Raw genomic sequence first — 13,525 nt, forward strand, 5'->3', positions numbered from 1 at the left:
TACGCCCACTGTATTCCTGGATCCTCACCTCCTGCCACCAACCTCCTGTCTACCTTCACATTCGCACAGTTAGCCTTGCAGGAATAGTAACAAGTGCCCCCCATCCGCCGACCATCCCCTCCCGTTCATGTTCCCATTCATCCACGAAGCGTAATCCGACGGAGCATATCCCGCTCCTGAAATACCACTAATGGGCACAGAACCACCAAAAGCTGAGCTCCTCAGTCGGCCCACCCCCGGGCACGTTGGAGTGTGGGGATTCGAACGCCCCCCAGTCCAGGTTACCTGCCACCGGCTGGCCGCGCCGGGGACAGTTCAGCCACCGCGGCGGGATCTTGTTGTGAGCCATGTCTTGGGGCTGCGCAGAGCTGCCCTCCCTCACCAACGTTCACCGCGCCTTTGGAGCCGCCTCCCCGTGGTCCGGTGCACACCGGGGTCCGAGACACCCGAATCGCAGCCGTAATCTGAATTCCAACCTCTCCGATCCGGGTAACGTCAGGGGCGGCGCGCCACTTTCATTCAGGATCAACTCCACAGCTCCAGGAGAACCCACAATGCACCGCAACTTCCGCCCCCGAAAGCCCCGCCCCCTTTCCGAGGTCAGAGGGAAAGAAGAGGAAGCTCAGCGGAAGGATAGCAAAGAGTTAAGGACGCGACGAATGGGAGGAGCGGGCCTTCTCTCGCCCCACTCGGCACCGCCCCGCCCCGCCCCGTCCCGCTCCACGGACGCGCCCGGACGCTACTGGTTCGCCTTTGCGCATGTGCAATTGCCCTCGTACCGAACTCCGCAGGACGAAGCGTGTATTTTTTTCCCATCCAGACAACCTAGAGAAACCCAAAAAAGAGGGAAGCCAAGCGCCTTTCCATGCGTAGATTGCCCGCCACTTCCGTTAAGGCATCTATTTTACTGATGAAAAGAGGCCTTCTGAGCGTTACCACAGCTCAAGCTTGGCGTCCCAGCCGGATCTAGGTTTGATTTGCAATTAGGGAAAGTTGTTCAAGGGAACAAGTCTTAGGAGAATTCTAAGGACATGAGATTGGAGTACCAGAAATGGGGAATTTTTCTTTTGGTGAGTACTTACGAGGATCTATGAAGCTTCTGAAATTAATTCCAGAACACTTAGAGTTTTGTTTGTACATTTCTGGATCAAAGTTTCAAAGCATACTGGGGAGTTTGAGAGGGTCCATGTCTCCAAAAAAAGTTACTAATTAATGTGGTATAATTGACAAAGGTAGGAATTGATCAGTGGAGAACCTCTTCGTGGCGTTGTTCTCCTTGGCCTACCAAATAAACAGTGCCTTTTATTTTCCCTTCGAGTTAAGCAGAGGTGCTTGAAAAATTTTTATAAATGCCGTCCTTTAACGAGCCTTTCCTTTGTTACCAGATTAAAGTGTTAAATATAAAGCTGGATGATGGCGAATCAATTATAATGTAGTTTGGCTTTAAACACCAATGCTATATTGGAACTGCAAGAACGTAAGGCTGCAGGGAATACATTTTTAAAGCGTCGGTGGGGAACTTTCTGGGACGCTCAACCCCCTGAATGCCTGGACCCCCTCAGTAAGAGTCCCATCAATAGAGGCAGTCCAACAGCAATCTCTCTGAGGCAGCCTGAGTTAGGTCACACTTCTGGTCTGTCCTGCTGTTGCATCTGCTCAGAACTGTTAGTGAAGGTGTAAACTCCTCCCCTGACAGAACAAGATAATACCCAGTTTCCTTTAAGGCCATCAGTCTACCCAAATAATCTCCGATGAATTCCCTTTTCTGCTGATAGAGTGTGTACCATGCCCAAAGTGGTAAAAACCTTCCATCCCCAGACCCCCTCCAAGGATGGGAAAGGTGAGCCTGATCCTGGAAGAGTATCTTACCTTCCCCTTCTGGGGATGACTCCCCTTGGTGACTCCCCTTCCCACACACGCTATACCCAGTAGCTCAGTCCTAGGCACACAGAAGCTTCATACCACTGGCGAGCAACTGTTATTGGCTGTAAGGCAGCAATGTGCACTGGATTTTTATTCTGCTATCCAGTTATGCCCTCTCCATACTCATTGCCACAGAATTGGGAGGACCCTGTGGCTACCTTTTGTCCACAATAGAGAGTAGAGTAGGAGAGTGGCATCCCGATGAGCAGGCAGTTTCTCTCTGCCTGTCAGGAATGCCTTGCCTGATGTGTGTTTCTGCCTATATTGCTCCTAGTCCCAAGTTTCTACTACTCTGTGAGAAGAAAAATAGATGCTCACAGACAGACCAACATGATTCCTCCCCCGCTTCCTGGAACCCCTGACACCCTCCCAGATATGTCTTGATCTCCTCTTTATCAGATGTAGATTCTCTTCATTGGTGAGTCTTTCATCAAACATCCATTTTGCCCATAAGGAAGAGTGTGTACATGTAAAAAATAAGATTGAACGTTCTCTTTTGGCAAAAGAGAGAGATCTTATCTGTCTTCCCTTTTCCTAGGACTTTTCCTTGAGAAAAACCTATATTTATTAATCCTTCCTCTTCACTTTGATATGTAGATAAATCTTTTGTTTTTGCAGACAGGGTCTCACTTTCTCACCCAGGCTAGAGTGCAGTGGGCATGATCAGGGCAGCCTTACTGGAGCCTCAACCTCCCAAGCTCAAGCAATCCTCTCACCTCAGCCCCCAAGGAGCTGGGACTACAGGTGCAGGCCCCCACACCCCACTAACTTTTTTATACTTTTTTCGTCTGGAACTCCTGCAAGCAGCCCTCCCACCTCAGCCTCCCAAAGTGCTGGTAAGACAGCCAGGTGGGAAGGATTCCTTGGCAGAATCTCCTTTTGACCTGAGCACTGGGAGGAATGCACCCTGTGGTGGAGCCTTGGGAAATTTGCGCCATTTGCAGTGGGGAGGAGCCTGGCCCCTCCTTTTCCTAGGTGGAACCTGGGATTCAGTCTACCAGGCAGGAAGCACTCTGGCTTTGGGGAGAGTCTCTGTTTCCCTTTTTTTCTTTTTGCCCAATAAATTCCATTCTCACCCTTCAAGGCATCTGTGAGCCTAATATTTCATGGCCATGTGACCAGGACCCAGCTCTTAGCTGAACTAAGGAGAAAGTCGTACAACAGCTTTGGCACCCAATGTGGGGCTTGAGAAGCGGTTGAGTGACACGGGGACTCAAAACTTTTCACTGTCATTTCTAAGCCTTTTCATGCGTGGACTTCTGAGGGTAGGGAAACCATGCCCCCACTCCCATCGCTCCCTGGGGTCAGGGGCCTTTCCATGGCCTTTGCCTTCGTTTTTTGGGAAGGATAGGCAAGTCGCAGCTCCTCATTCCCTCTCCCCTCCCAGCTGGGGCTGGGGAATGCCACATGTCCACAGCATCTTCCCCTTCCCTGGCCAAGGCTCAACTCCATCTGATAAGCTTCTCTCCCTGGTAGAGGAACCATTTGCCTAAGAATAAAAGGTTTATTCCCCCAGGCATCCTTTTTTCTTCACCCCATCAACAGTTAACTTTTAAACCAGATGTTTTTTTTCTTTTTCACTAGGCTAGGAATGATAAGGATCCCTGTTTATATTCTCCTTAAAGTTTGGTTGTGAAAAAGGATCTTATGGGGACTGGTTTTCTTCTGCCTGTCTGTGTAGCTATATATATGTTGTGTACATGATGTCTATGAAAAGAGCTCAAAGGCCAGGCACGGTGGCTCACACCTGTAATCCCAGCACATTGGGAGGCTGAGTCAGGCAGATCACCTGAGGTCGAGAGTTCAAGACCAGCCTGACCAACTTGGAGAAACCCCATCTCTACTAAAAATACAGAATTAGCCAGGCATGGTGGCACATGCCTGTAATCCCAGCTACTTGGGAGGCTGAGGCAGGAGAATCACTTAAACCTGGGAGGTGGAGATTGCACTCCAGCGTGGGCAGCAGGAGCAAAACTCCATCTCAAAAAAAAAAAAAAAAAAGGAGCTCTAAGGCCAGGTGTGGTGGCTCATGCCTGTAATCCCAGCACTTTGGGAGGCCAAGGCAGGCAGATCATTTGAGAGTCAAGAGATTGAGACCAGCTTGGCCAACATGGTGAAACCCTGTCTCTACTAAAAATACAAAAATTAGCCAGGTGTGGTGACGTGCCTGTAGTCCCAGCTATTTGGGAGGCTGAGGCAGGAGAATCCCTTGAACCCAGGAGGCAGAGGTTGCATTGAGCTGAGATTGTACCACTGCACTCCAGCCTGGCCAACAGAACAAGACTCTGTCTCAAAAAAAAAAAAAAAAAAAAAAAAAAACTCTAATTGGCCTAAAGGAAGACAAGTGCTTAGATCATATATTTTTTAAAGGGAAGGTAAAAGATGTGGTACCTTTCAGTTCATGTGACTTTAATCTTTGAGAAATAAAAACAGCCTTAAAGATTATTGGTAAAAAACAGATGTCATCAAAATGTAAATAGGTGGACTAAATTATGCAGGTTAGGTACTAGTCTTGCTAAATGTTTTAATGTTATAAACTGCTTTTTGAGTTTTGAGAACTATCTGACTTGCTGGCTTCACAATTGATAAGGCCTGGGGACATATGGAACTAACCATGTCATTAATTATGCTAGAAGGAGTCAAAACTTCGCTGCACCTGGCACACAATTAAAACAACTTACCAGGTTTTACATTAAAGTTAAAATTGCTAGGAGTTACCATTATAATGTATAATTGAAACTACTGAAAATAGATTTACATGCAAGGTGTGTAAGAACAGTAAAATGTGTTTTTTAGTAAAAGGTAATGGAAGGCATGGAAATGTAAATTTTTGCCTAGGGTTAGGGAATTGTTTTAAATTAGGTAAGATAAAGCTAAAGGTTTAAACAAGTTCTGGAAGGTTAAAATTAATCTTGCAAAAGAAATGCTGTGTGTGAACATTGGCTAAATTCAAAAGTAAATTGAGCATTGAAATAAAAGCACAACAAAGTTTTCTTAAGGCACTAATCTGCACTTTAGCAAAATTTGTAAAGGGTTATAAAAAGTTTTTGCTTCTTTAAAATTTCTGAGTAATTTTGGCAAAATAAATAATTTATGGAAATCTGGAATTCTATTTCATAACATCAAGTGTTTTAAACCACTAACATATTTAACAGGCTTCCCAAAAATCAAACTTCAGTTTCAAAATTGTCTTTCCTGACACCTGGCTTTTCAGAGGCTCCAGAAGGACCCTAGAGTGTCCAGAAGAGAAATGTAAACAGGATTAGTTGACATGTTTAGGTATGTGGGATTGCCAAAATAATGTTCAGTTTTCTTTTTTTCTTTTCTTTTTTTTTTTTTTTTTTTTTTGAGACAGAGTCTCACTCTGTAACCAGGCTGGAGTGCAGTGACACGATCTCAGCTTACTGCAACCTCCGCCTCCTAGGTTCAAGTGATTTTCCTGCCTCAGCCTCCCAAGTAGCTGAGATTATAGGCACCCACCACCATGCCCAGCTAATTTTTTTGTATTTTAGTAGAGACAGAGTTTTGCCATTTTGGCCAGGCTGGTCTTGAACTCCTGACCTCAGGCGATCTACCCTCCTCAGCCTCCCAAAGTGCTGGGATTACAGGCATGAGCCACTGCACCCGGCCCAGTTTTCTTTAGGTTATATTATTGTGAATAATACTAATATATGTTCCAAAATTGTATGGGATTTCTAAAATTCTAATGTCTGAGATAACCAAACTTCTTTGTCAATTGTGTTTCTAACTGTAACTACCCTGGACATTTTGTTATTCACAGACAATTGTTGTCTTGTTTTAATCCTTTTCAAAAGATGATTTATAATGAGCTATAGAACGTTAACAGGTGCTCTCAAATACCAATTTCTGATGACTTTGGAGATTGTAACAAAAGGAAAAATGTACAAGACTCACAAAGAGCTGAAATGTTCATGAATATCAAGCAAATCAAGAACTAAATTGACTGAACTCAGAAAGCTGAAGCAATCTTTTTGACTTTTGCTTAGAATATTGCTGACCCTTATTTTTCAGAGTCAAGGAAACTTACTTTGAACTATTTACACCCTTTAATAATTGAGTAAGGTATACTCCTGTGAACAAAATTTGGAGTATCGGGGGAACCCACCCCCAGTATTTCAATGAAGGTGCTTTCTATTTTCCCTAAGTGTCGGCCAGTCTGAGAAATAAAGAGAAAGAGTACAAAGAGAGGAATTTTACAGCTGGGCCACCAGGGGCGACATCACATACCGGTAGGTCCATGATGCCCACCTGAGCCGCAAAACCAGCAGGTTTTTATTAAGGACTTCAAAAGGGGAGGGGGTGTATGAACAGGGAGTAGGTCACAAAGATCACATGCTTCAAAGGGCAAAAAGGAGAACAAAGATCATATGCTTCTAGGCCAATAAATATCACGAGGCAAAGGGCAAAGCAAAGACCACAAGGCAAAGGGCAAAATCAAAAACTCCTGATAAGGTTCTATGTTCAGCTGTGCACATATTGTCTTGATAAATATCTTAAACAACAGAAAACAGGATTCAAGAGCAGAGAACCAGTCTGACCTCAAATTTACCAGGGCAGGGTTTCCCAATCCTAGTAAGCCTGAGGGTACTGCAGGAGACCAGGGCATATTTTAGTCCTTATCTCAACTGCATAAGACAGACACTCCCAGAGCAGCTGTTTATAGACTTCTCCCACCAGGAATGTATTCCTTTCCCAGGTTCTTAATTATTAATATTCCTTGCTAGGAAAAGAATTCAGCGATATCTTCCCTACTTGCTTGTCCGTTTATAGGCTCTCTGCAAGAAGAAAAATATGGCTCTATTCTGCCCTACCCAGCAGGCAGTCAGACCTTATGGTGTCTTCCCTTGTTCCCTGAAAATCACTGTTATTCTGTTCTTTTTCAAGGTGTACTGATTTCATATTGTTCAAACACACATTTTACAATCAATTTGTACAGTTTGACACAATAGTGGTCTTGAAGTGACGTACATTCTCAGCTTATGAAGATAATAGGAATAAGAGACTAAAGTAAGACAGGCATAAGAAATTATAAGAGTTTTATTAGGGAAGTGATAAATGTCCATATTAAAATGAAATCTTCACAGTTTATGTTCAGAGATTGAAGTAAAGACAGGCATAAGAAATTATAAAAGTATTAATTTTGGGAACCGATATATGTCCATATTAAAATGAAATCTTCACAATTTATGTTCCTGTACTGCGGCTCCAGCCAGTCCCTCTGTTCGGGGTCCCTGACTTCCCGCAACATTGGAGCATATTTGTCTCTCTGCCTGGCTTCTCCAGAATTTGGAAACTATCTGTGAGTATTCTTAACTTATGGCAATATAGTTGTTTGCATCAGCGCAGTAAGAATCCATTTTTCTTTTGCAACAGGACACAGTTGGAGAAACTGGTTATTCTACCAAGGCTTTGACTGAAGGGTATGCTTCTCTTTCAGGAGTCAGTCTCAACTTGCAGAGCCAATAAAAGCCCCTTGGGGAAAAAAAAATGGCCTCATATCCTTGTCTACGCAGTCCCTGTACAGGGTTCCTGACCTGTGGTCAGTAAAGAATGTCACTTTCTAACAGGCCTAGGGGCTCCAAGTTTATCTTAGGACTTTAAAAGGAGAGGATCACTCAACTCACAGGTATTTAAGGATACAAACCCAAGGCTGGGCTCAGCTTTAAAAGGCCTTCTCTGAGATTCCTTGTAAAACAGATTTCTATCAAAGCCAATCCAAAAGGCCTGTATAGGAATAATTACTCTTGCTGCACTTTATGCAGGCCAAGTATAAGACTAAAGTCTATTTTGCAAACAACTCAGTCCTACCATAATTTTTTTTAACAAAAATGAGGACTGGAGAGAGAGAAATTATGCTTCAAAACTTATCATACATTTGTCATTAAATTATAAACTCATTAGTTGTCTGTAAGTTTTTGCCTACATTTTAAACTAACCCTGCTTGTTCCTGTGAACCAACCAGCAATCTCTGGCTGTAGCCCAGAAAGAACAAGAGGGATGGGTAATGTAAAAATCCAGACCAATATTCTAGTTCTGACCAATTATCCTTCAAATCCTGCCAGGTGATGGGAATAAATAGGATGCCCATCACTCAGAGGTTTCCTTTTTGGGAAAGTAAGACCAAGGGAGCTAACCAAAGTCAAGCACGATGTGCCCAAATCCTAAGCAAGCATAACTATAGCCACCAGTTATCTGGGTGTGTCACAAGACATCCCTTTCTCTCCCTTGTTGGAGGAGGACTCAGTTCCACAGTTTCACCTTAGCATTTGGCTTATGAGAAGGAGTTCATGCAGTCCCCACCCTAGACACATTTTTGTCCCAAACTCAATTCCAAGCTTTGCGTTAAAGCCCTAGGAAAGAAAACTGGATCTGAGGGATGCAGAGGCAGACGATAACAGAAGTTTAAAGGCACAGCACAGGTGAGCATGGCTGATTCCTGCCGATTAAGCCAAGCCTCCTGTTTCATGGATAAAGATCATGCTAGTATCCATGGCATAAATAAGGTCTAGGGAACTCCAGACTACTGACAGTAGGTGGGATAGAAACAGTGGTGAGATCAGATAATTCCTATTTTCTAGGCCCTCCTTGCTTCATGGGTGCAAGCCACTTTGGCACCCACGGCAGCACCTGACAAGGTCACCGGGACGCAGGGATGCAAAGACAGAAGTGGGAAAGAGAATGTTCTTCCCTCTCTCCCTCACATACCTGGGGTATCTGCTAGGAAGAGAAGGGAACAAGAGACTCCTGCTCCCGTTCTTTTAGATGGGTAGCCATTCATCTTCAGTCTGTACCTTTTTCAAATGCATCCTGAACCCCTGAGACTCCTTTAAAAAGCTCCTTCTTTTTTCCTCTCTCCTCCTCTGTCCTCTCTTCACAGATAGGTAATTGCATCTTCGTACTACAGGACACTCCCCTCAGATGCATCCTCCAAACTGGAAAGGTTAATTTCCCAAACCTTAAACTGGTTGGTTTAGGATTAGGCTCAGGGGAAGGGAACGCCCTGTTGGAAGAAGGGAACCCATGTTGGAAGAAGCCCAACATGCTGGCAAAAGGGTCAAGTTTACTACCAGTAGGGCTTGTGGCCTCCCTCTCCCCATGCAAACTGGTAAAAGGCCTTGGGATTTTTGAGCTGCCCTTACCCCTCCCCTTGTTTCATTTTAATACATGTTTTCTAATAACCCGATTTGTCTCTTCTTGCCTTCAGGCCATCAAACTCCAAACAATCACACAACCAGAGCCTCTGATGACGGCCCCTTCTGCTAGGAACCCTTAAATAGGCCTCTGAGGCAGCTCTAACTGCTGTTTCCCCAAACATCGCCCCCCTTAACAGCAGGAAGCAGTTAAGATTGGTCATCATGCTTATCCTAATGGCAGTTAGATGGACTTCTTTAGAGCACAGACCGCTAAACACCTGCTAAATGGCAGCTCCCTCCCACTCATTCTGGAGTGTCACCTCCAGAGGCTGCTCAGCTTCTTTCTAGGGTGTACGGATACTCTTCCTGGACAGGCAGGTGTTCCCTGGTCCCCATTCCTCACCCCAGCCCGGGAAAGGGGACCTGCCCATTCTCAGAGCACAGGTAGCTCCTCCCTCGCAATGTACAGCCAAGTATAAAGGGGTCCCTGGAGAAACTCCAGCTGGCCTGTGCACTGGGAGAAGTGTACACTGGGGTGGAGCCTCGGGAAGTTTGCACCATTTGCAGGGGGGAAGAGCCTGGCCCCTCCTCTTCCTGAGTGGAACCTGGGATTCAATCTGTGAGCTGGGAAGCACACTTGCAGGACTCTGGCTTTGCAGAGAGTCCCCATTTCCCTTTTTTTTCTTTTTGCCCAGTAAATTTCATTATTCTCACCCTTCCACGTGTCTGCGAGCCTAATATTTCATGGCCATGTGGCAAGGACCCAGCTCTTAGCTGAACCAAGAAGAAAGTTGTTCAACACTGGGATTACAGGTGTGAGCCACAGCACCCAGCTGATATGCAGATAAATCTTTTCAAAAGCAAAATGAGCCTCTTGCCTGCCCTACAGCCCTTACAACAAGAAGTGTTTTTCTTAGGGTCTGGGAAGTATGTCTTGTTTTTTTTTATTTTATTTTATTTTACAAATGGCATCTCACTATGCCAGGCTGGTCTTGAACGCCTGAGCTCAAGAGATCCTCCCACCTCCACTATCTCTTTGAAATGTAAACATCAAGTAAGATAGTGCCCCTATCTTCCTGTCACCCTAGCCTAAGGCTCTTTGTTCTCAGTAACTACCTGTTTGTGTTAGGAGTGAGTTTTGTTTTTCTTTCAGATAACAGCAGTTAACTAACACAGATGGCCACTGCCAATAACCAAGTGAACCTAGGATGAACCATGAGTATATAACAAATGATACTACCAAGTCCTCCTCTATAAGGACAAGTTATTGTTTATCTTGAGAACATGTATGTAAAGGATTGTATGTACTTGGATATGTAAAAGAGTGAGGTTTCTTTCTGTCTCTGCAATCTCATGAATGGATGGCCTGTGATGCACATCTCAGTCTGGTTTAATGCCTACTCAATAATACAACTCTTTTTTTCCCCTACATTTATGAAGAGAATTTTCTGGGTTGACAGGAGGTTTTTTTGCTAACTTTTTCCCCAACAGGTGTTTATGCCTTACTCAACTATTAAAGGCTATTACAGAAATGTACCCCCTCTGAGACTGAACAGTGTTGCTTTTTTGATCGATCCTCATCTCTACCAGGCAGGGACTGAGCTGGTGCCTATGTGCCTAGCTCCCTTCTCATACTGATGACCCACCACCTCCGCCTCCTTCCTGTACTGTACCAGCTTTGGTGGATGGGAGAAGTTCAGAAGGAGATCAAATTGGGTTAAGTTTAGAGCTGAGGAAGAACGCTAGAGTCCCATCTCACATAGAGGTCAGGTTCTAAACTCAGGGTTTTGGACAAAAGAAAAACTCAGAATTACCCTCCATTGTTTTTTTCATCGGAGCACCACTTGAAGTCTTTAGCATGTAGGCCCCGTCATATAAAAAATAGCAATCTTTAAACAACAGAATCACACTTTTCACAGCCTGATGCTCCTCTCCAAAAGGTCTCAGTTCACATCTTACTCCATGGTACAGGTCCAGGGAGCAAAACAACAAGCAGCCTCTCTCTCTTGTATGCCCACACTTGTACAGGTAAATTCATAGGAATTAAATATGGATGTGATATTACTTCATTGTTGTCAAATGATACCTGCCAACAGAAGATACCAGAAAACTTACTATGAGGCTTCTTACTTGCATAAGCTCCTCCCAAGGCCAAATTAGTTATTTGTAATTTTATATCATTGAAAAGGATATTTTTAAAGGGATATGCTCCCCTCTTACCTCCCCCCTCCCACACCAAGTTGTTTAAGTTCAAAACTGTTATGTGTTGAATTGTCCACCACTGAAAATATGTTGAAGTCCTTGGCTGGGTGCAGTGGCTCATGCCTGTAATCCCAGCACTTTGGGAGGCAGAGGTGGGCAGATCACTTGAGCTCAGGAGTTTCAGACCAGCCTGGGCAACATGGCCAAATCCTGCCTCTACAAAAAAAAATAATAATAATAACAAAAATTAGCTGGGTGTGGTGGTACATGCCTGTAGTGCCAGCTACTCAGAAGGCTGAAGCAGGAGAATTGCTTGAACCTAGGAGGCAGAGGTTGCAATGAGCGGAGATTGCACCACCACACTCCCAGCCTGGGCGACAGAGCAAGACCCTGTCTCAAAATTCAAAAAAAAAAAAAAAGATACATTGAAGTCCTAACCCCTAGTACCTCAGAATATGACCACCTTTGGAAATAGGGTCTGTATAAAGGTTATCAGGTGCAAATGAGTTCATTAGGTTGGGCCCTAGTTCAGTATGGCTGGTATCTCGTAAGAGGGGGGACATATGGACGTAAAGACTGGCAGGGAGGATGACATGAAGACACACAGAGGAAAGATGGCTGTGTGACACATCTACAAGTCAAGGAATGCCAAGGATTGCTGGCAGACACCAGAAGCTAGAAGCAGCAAGTGAGGTTTCTCCCCTAGAGCTGTCAGAGGGAGCACGGCCCTGCCAACACGTTGGTTTCAGACCGCTAGCCTCCAAAACTGTGAGACAATAAACATCGGTTGTTTTAAGCCACTCAGTGTTTGGTACTCTTTTACAATAGCCCTAGGAAACTAATACAAAGCCACGCAAAACCTGGACCTGCCCCTCTTCTAACTGATGCTTTCTGGTTCTAAAGCTCCTGGAGCCAGCGTTCTCTGAACCAAAGTCTCTAACCTTGGTATAAATTCAGCAAACTTTTCCCAAGTTATTTTAAAGAGAATTTACCTGGTACACTCTTGAGCTTTTAATGCCCAAAAAGAATGTTCTAAAGAACTCATTCAGTCACAAATACTAAATCACTGTTTGCTTTAAGAGCACTGAGGTCTTCAAAGGCAGCAACCATGAGGTATCCCTTTGGAGGTGGCAAGCATTAACTTAACATACCTGCCAGTATCTCCATAGTCCTCACTCACCAGGGGTCCGCCCCAGAAAATGCCCTCGGACTCTAGAGGCTCACCTCCCATTAGAGGGCGCCCATCAGTTTCCTAGAGCTGCTGTAACAAAAGGCCACAAGCTGGGTGGCTTAAAACAAGAAGAATGTATTCTCTCCTGGTTCTGGAGGCTAGACATATGCAAGGTGTTGGCAGGGCCATGTTCTCTTTAATGCCTCTAAGGGAGGATCCTTCCTTGCCTCTTCCAGTTTCTGGTTGCCCCAGGAATTTGGTTGCTGTATGTCTTCCTTCTGAGAACTGTGAAAGTTGTCAGAATCAAAATGGAGTCACTTCTGTTTTTTAAAAACCACCGCCACCAAAAACAAAAACAAATCCTGACAAATAGAGCCAGGTAAAGGGTATGAAAAGAGGGCCCTCATGTGTGTGTGCCTGATAACAGAAGCCATCACAAAAGACTGCAAAAACCACAACCTTGCACAAAGGCCATCACAACCTTATGCAAAAAATACTTATGCAGGCCTGGCATGGTGGCTCACCCCTGTAACCCAGCACTTTGGGAGGCTGAGGCAGGCAGATCACATGAGGCCAGTAGTTTGAGACCAGCCTGGCCAACATGATGAAACCCCATCTCTACTAAAAATACAAAAATTAGCAGAGCATGGTGGTGCACACCTGTAATCCCAGCTACTCGGGAGGCAGAGGCAGGAGAATTGCTTGAAACCAGAAGGTGGAGGTTGGAGTGAGCCGAGATCACACCACTGCACTCCAGCCTGGGCAACAGAGGGAGACATCTTTCCAGTAATGCCTATCCAGCCTCAATCACCCCTGTTATTGAACTCTGTACGCAAGGATAATTATTTCAAAACAACTATGTAATCTTTCTCATTTTTTCCTTTAAACACCTTTGTCTTGCTTTACCTCCCTGAACATGCACATAGTTTACTATGGTACACAAAATCCCAATGCAGTGCTCTATTCCCAAATAAACATCATTTTCTTTTAGAGAGTCTCTGTTTGTTATTTAGTTTGAAAGAATCATGAAGTTTTGTAGAAAGGCAGAGACTGAGATAGATGCTTTAAAAATTAC

The 13,525-nt window shown here is 44.6% G+C and overlaps 1 protein-coding gene across 5 annotated transcripts in view, besides 3 other annotated features; it reads right to left on the reverse strand.

Annotated features, from left to right (window-relative positions):
• The window catches only part of RNGTT (RNA guanylyltransferase and 5'-phosphatase), a 353,722-nt gene extending 353,164 nt beyond the window's left edge, over nucleotides 1–558 (reverse strand). For all 5 annotated transcript variants that reach the window (NM_001286428.2, NM_001286426.2, NM_003800.5 and 2 more), the window contains exon 1: nucleotides 286–558. Coding sequence is in view for 4 of the 5 variants with exons in the window: in NM_001286426.2 (NP_001273355.1) it covers nucleotides 286–349 (64 nt within the window). In the remaining variant the exon portion in view is untranslated. The remainder of the gene's footprint in view (nucleotides 1–285) is intronic.
• Nucleotides 258–637: an enhancer, noted in NCBI's record as "active region_24817". NCBI's record gives its function as "activates an Ori minimal core promoter by ATAC-STARR-seq in GM12878 lymphoblastoid cells {active_cell/tissue: GM12878}" and the evidence as "EXISTENCE:reporter gene assay evidence [ECO:0000049][PMID:35858748]".
• Nucleotides 621–855: a silencer, noted in NCBI's record as "fragment chr6:89673400-89673634 (GRCh37/hg19 assembly coordinates)". NCBI's record gives its function as "represses an EF-1alpha promoter that drives an FKBP-Casp9 reporter gene in an ReSE screen in K562 erythroleukemia cells {active_cell/tissue: K562}" and the evidence as "EXISTENCE:reporter gene assay evidence [ECO:0000049][PMID:32094911]".
• Nucleotides 9,804–10,425: an enhancer, noted in NCBI's record as "OCT4-NANOG hESC enhancer chr6:89682583-89683204 (GRCh37/hg19 assembly coordinates)". NCBI's record gives its function as "activates a minimal SCP1, AML or CMV promoter by ChIP-STARR-seq in primed H9 embryonic stem cells {active_cell/tissue: H9 hESC(primed)}" and the evidence as "EXISTENCE:reporter gene assay evidence [ECO:0000049][PMID:30033119]".

The sequence above is a fragment of the Homo sapiens genome, chromosome 6 (genome assembly GCF_000001405.40).
Source record: "Homo sapiens chromosome 6, GRCh38.p14 Primary Assembly".
Taxonomy (NCBI): domain Eukaryota; kingdom Metazoa; phylum Chordata; class Mammalia; order Primates; family Hominidae; genus Homo; species Homo sapiens.